Below are 5,572 nucleotides of genomic sequence, written 5' to 3'. Positions count from 1 at the left end.
CAAATCTATATGTGCACATTGTAACTTGTGACAGTGTCTGTGTGTACAGCTCTGTGTGTGCATATGTGTGGGGAGCTACATTGTACAAGACTGTGTGAGTGTGTGCCTGTGTGTGTAAGGCTCTGTGTGTGTTTGTGTTAGGCTCCGCATGAGCATGTGTGTGCTCACATGTACTTGACCTGGGAGCCTGAGTGATCAGGCGTGAGTATGTGTGTGTATGCCTGTGCATGCATGCCTGGTCCTGGGTGCCTGGGTGCCAGTGTGAGTGTGTGTGTGTGTGTGTGTGTGTGCAGGCACTGCCTCTCTCCGCCCCCTGGGTGCCTGGATGCCTGTGTGAGCATGTGTGAGTGTGTGTGTTTGTGCAGGCACTGCCTCTCTTCTCTCTCTGGGTGCCAGTGTGTGTGTGTGTGTGTTTGTGTGTGTGTACAGGCACTGCCTCTCTCCTCCCCCCGGGTGCCTGGGTGCCAGTGTGAGCATGTGTGTGTGTGTGTGCATGCACTGCCTTGCTCCTCTCCCTGGGTGCCTGGGTGCCAGTGTGAGCGTGTATGTGTATGTGTGACAAGGCACTGCCTCTCTCCTCTCCCTGGGTGCCTGGGTGCCAGTGTGACCATGTGTATGTGTGTGTGTATGTGCATGTATGTGTGTATGTGTGTTTGCATGTGTGTGTCTGTATGTGTATCTGTGTGTATGTGTGTTTTGTGTGTATGTTTGTGTGTGTATGTGTGTGTTTGTGTGTATGTGTGTGTGTTTATGTGTATGTGTGTGTGTTTGTGTATGTGTGTGCATGCACTGCCTCACTCCTCTCCCTGGGTGCCTGGGTGCCAGTGTGAGCGTGTGTGTGTATGTCTGTGTGTGTGTGTGTGCAAAGGCACTGCCTCTCTCCTCTCCCTGGGTGCCAGTGTGACATGTGTATGTGTGTGTGTCTGTGTGTGTGTACATGTGTGTATGTGTCTGTGTGTGTGTCTGTGTATGTGTGTGTATGTGTGTATATATGTATGTGTGTATGTGTGTGCTTGTGTGTGTTTGTGTGTATGTGTGTGTAGGTGTGTATGTGTGTGTAGGTGTGTATGTGTGTGTGTTTGAGTGTGTATGTTTGTGTTTGTGTGTGTATTTGTGTGTATGTGTGTGTTTGCGTGTGTGTGTGTGTGCGTGCGTGTGTCTGTGTTTGTGTGTGCCCATGCATGCAGGCACTGCCTGGCCCTGGGCACAGGATGCACTCCCTGGCATGTTTGTCCCTGGGTCACTCACAGGATGTGAGGCAGCACACACGGTTCTCACCTCCTCCAGGGTGCTGGGGTGGGCCTGTGTCTCTCTACCTCTAGGGTCCCCGTGTGCCGCACAGCCTGGGCACAGGAGCGCTCCCAGCTGCTGGGCATATGGTCAGGTCAGCGGCTCCTTCAGTTCTGTCCTCCGGGGTCCACACCCCTGGTGGACAGGTGGAGTGAAACCTGCCCCAACTCAGGGAGGCCCAGACGGCAAGCCCTGGCAAAGTAGGAAGAAGGGGCCTGTGTGAGTTGCTTTTATCTTTTTCATAAAACATTTTTTAAAATTACAAAGTCAATATTTGTTCAATGCAGAATACTCCAGAAACAAACAATGGAAAGGAAGCAATCAGCCATCTTCATGCAGCAGGAAGATAAACACCCTCACGTGTGGGGTGTGCGTTCCTCTCCCTCCCGCCCGCTTCCTGGCTTCCTTCTCCTCTCACACGGATCAAAAGCAGGACCCTTCTGTGCACACACGCACAGTTGTTCATCTTGTCGGCCTGCATTGGCAAGGACCATGGGCATTTTCCTGTTAACAGATACACTGCTCACCGCATTTCCAAGCTCTGCCGCAGGCTGTCTTGTTCATTGTGTGGGTCTCCACCCACTCCCTGGGTCCAGGCTGTCCTCGCCTCCTGCCTCCTAACAGCACAGCCTCCTGTCTCCTGCTTCCACGGGGCCCCTCTGCAGCCCATCTCCACCCAGAGGGGATGCAATCTCACCTCCCTCGGGGCCTCCCAGGGCTCGCACCATGGACGCTGCTGTCCTGTGCATGAGGTGCACTTTCAAGGTCTCCCTGGTCACACCTGTGGCCTCCCTTCGAAGACAGGCCTCCCGGGGCACCAGGCAGCCTCCCAGACACGAGCAGCCCACTCTGCTGATTGGCACAGCTCACTCCAGGGGCCCTTCCCTTGCTCCCACCACCCCCACAGATGTCCTTGCCACGACTCTGTACTCACCTGGGGGATGACCGGTTTAGTGCCCATCAGCTCCACTGGGCCCAGGCCCTGCGGGACAGAGCTGTGTGGCGTTTGCCCATCACTTTACCTCTGTTCTCAGCACACAGCTGGGGCTGTCTCTGTATTTCCTGAGTAAATGAAGGAAGGAGACACAGCCGTGTAATGCACGTTGTTGAACACACATTATCCTACACAGCCGTGACTACGTCTCCAGGATAAGCTCCTCAAAGGCACCGTGGGATGAAGCATGAGAACAATTTTTGGCAGGGTTGTCACCCATCATCCCGTCCCCTGCAGGGTTGTCACCCATTGTCCCGCCCCCTGCAGGGATGCTGATGTAACGCCCATCCCTGCCATTGGCAGGCCGGTCAGGTGGTCCACACGCTCAACACTGGGCAACAAAGTGTTTTTGCCTAGGGAAGTGGCTGCTGGGTGGAGACATTTACCTTCTTGCTCGGATTTGCAGCTATTCCTTTATTAACGAAGTTAAATCGCTTTTCACTTGCGCCCTGACCATTTGCGCAGCTTTTTTGGCACTCTCTTGCTCATACCTTAGGACGGCCTATGCTCGGCAGACCTTTTATTGTTTATTTATGATACTATTTTAATGTCGTTAGCTCATCAACCTTTTGTCTAAACATATGTTGCGAAATATTTCCCCAGTGTCTTGTTTGCCTTTAATTGTGCCTAAGTTATCATTTGAGATTTGAATTTTAATGCAGTCACCTCCACAGGTCCTTTGTGCGTCTTGGTGGGTCTTACATTTAGCAAGTCCAAGGTGGACATGAGCCTGGGATGAGACCAACACTCTCAGTGGTGGAATAATGGCAGGGCCAAGCTGGCCCACTCAACAGATGCTGGCAGTGAGGCTGGGTCCATTTCCAACCTGGCCAGCCTTTGGAAATTCTGAGTTTAATATCTATCTTCACAATGTCTCCCCAGTCATACACTTTCTCTTCTAATTTTAGCTCAGTTGTTTTCTTGCCCTCGGGAAAAGCCAGCAGACATTTTCAATTCATTAACCCTCCTACCTGTGTTTTGCATTTCATTTTCAAGATAAAATCCCAAAGGCAACACACAAATCAGAGCACACGTTCACTAAAGTGCACTGTCCTGCCCACTCCCTTCTCCAGCTTCCCAGCCTGGTCCATTTCCCCAGCCCTGGAGATTTCTGGGATCTGTTCATTCCCCGAGCTACATGCATTCACCTGCTGGGGCTGCCATCATCAAGCACCACAGGCTGAAGGCTTAGACACCAGGATTCATTTCCTCTCCACTCTGGAGGCTGGAAGTTGGCCCTTAGGGCATCAGCAAGACTGATTCCTCCCAAGGCCTCTCTCCTTGGTGGGTAGACCCCATCTTCTCCCTGGGTCTTCACGTGATTGTCCCCTGTGCATGTCTGTGTTCAAATCTCCTCCTCTTCTATAAGGACACCAGTCATATAGTGACTACATTGTACCTCTAATCACATTCTGAAAAGCCCCATTACCAAACATAGTCACTGGGGCGAGGACTTAAACCTGGGAATTTTGGGGAACACGATTCAGCCCAGCACATGGCACAATGGGCATTTCTAAACTGGAGAATTACCCCCATCACTCTACGATAGCACCTGAGAATTCTTCAGCTATATGTAAATATCAACCTGGAAAGGGGCAGGTTTTGGCTTTCTTTTTAAGCAACCCCAAATCATTGATTCAATTGTCCCTCCCTAGTCTACACTGCAGGCTCCAGGGCAGGGCAGGAGAGGGAGCTTTCAAGACTGCAGGGATTTGTCCTGTAACTTGAGGGAACTTGCCCTGTCTTTGGGGCCTTAGTTCCCATACCTGTGAAGTGGGGGTGAGAATAACTCGCCCAGCAGGGCTGTGGTTGCACCCTGAGCGGAGGCTCCTGAAACTTCTCTTGGCCCATCTGTGCCCTTCCTTGTAAAGCCCAGTTTTAACAAGAACCCTGCTAAGTCAGTTTATCAAGAACCCCTCACCCTTGGTGTCTGATCCTTCCTAAATATCTGATCAGGGTCCTCATCCCCCACCACCCCCCAGGGAAGGCCTGGTCCCCTGGCCTGCCTTCAGCAAGCATCCTGTTAGCGAGGGCTTAGCCAGAACCCCCTCACCCCAATGCTTCCTCCTGGTCATTTTCCATCCCCCGATCCCACCTGCTCCTCGGCTGTAATCCCCACTTGCCAGGCTGTGTTGGGAGTTGAGCCATCTCTCTTCCACTGCAGAATCCCATTGCCGTGATCCCTGTGCCTATCACAATGGGCCTGAATAAAGTCTTCCTCAGGGTACCCTGACAAGCACCACTGAATCACTGTTTTCTCTAACAATGGCCATGCAACTCTCTTTGCCAGTGGAGTATGAGGGGTAAAGGCTGGTGTGTGCCTCTTCCAGTCCTGGCCCATCACACCCACTGTGGGAGGCATCACTCTTCATTACCCACTCTCTGTGAATAAAGAGGGCTGGGAGGACCTGGGGCAGGGAGGATCTACAAGAGGGAGGGAGCCTGGGCCTGCCATGTGGGACGTCACTCACTGAACCAACGAACTGTTCATGTCAATAAGAAATAAATGTAAAGCACACAGACACTTGGATTTTCCTTGTGTTTGTTTTTGTGTTTGGTCCAGCAGTTAACCTGCACTGACCACCGTGCCCGATGGTGCTTCCCACCACATTCTGTTCTGTGTTCCTTTTCCTTACATACTTGTGACTTTCCACAGTGGCAAACACAGCTTACATCATGTATAAAAAATAATGGCTTCAGAACATGTGTGTCCATTGCAGCTAACAAAAGACCCATCTCACAATGGCTAAAGCATGGGTTTCATCTCATACGTTAGGAGATGGACTCATCCCAGAGTGAGTTAAGTCGATGCTTCAGACATGTGACTGAGGACACAAGTTTTCTCATCTTTCCAAACAGCCATCTCCTGATCGTTGGCTTTTGTCCTTGGGTTTGTTCCCTCATGGTCGCAAGGTGGCTGCAGGAGATCTAAGTGTCATATTTACACACAACAACATCATATCCAATGGCAGGTATGTTACATTTGTTATGTCCAAGGTGCAAAGATGCTTTAGCAATGGAAAGCTAACGTTCATCAACAGGAGAAAATGTGAATCAACTCTGAAATGTTCATGGGTGGAATACTGTTCTTAGTGAAATGCATGAGCCTCCGTGACACAGAACATCATGGATGAATCTCGTAATGTTGAATAAGAAAGCAAATCTCTGCAGAACCCTTATAATCTGATATTGCATGTTGGCATTTCTACGAAGCTCAAACACACGATGTGCTGAAGAGTATTCCATGTATTCCGTGTATTTTATATGACCATAGAAAATAAAGAAAGG

General features: G+C 50.7%; 1 annotated feature.

Moving 5' to 3' along the window:
• Positions 1,293-1,793: an enhancer, noted in NCBI's record as "H3K27ac hESC enhancer chr8:142934035-142934535 (GRCh37/hg19 assembly coordinates)". NCBI's record gives its function as "activates a minimal SCP1, AML or CMV promoter by ChIP-STARR-seq in naive H9 embryonic stem cells {active_cell/tissue: H9 hESC(naive)}" and the evidence as "EXISTENCE:reporter gene assay evidence [ECO:0000049][PMID:30033119]".

This window comes from Homo sapiens, chromosome 8 (assembly GCF_000001405.40).
Source record: "Homo sapiens chromosome 8, GRCh38.p14 Primary Assembly".
Classification (NCBI taxonomy): domain Eukaryota; kingdom Metazoa; phylum Chordata; class Mammalia; order Primates; family Hominidae; genus Homo; species Homo sapiens.
This window is presented reverse-complemented; position numbering and strand designations above follow the sequence as displayed.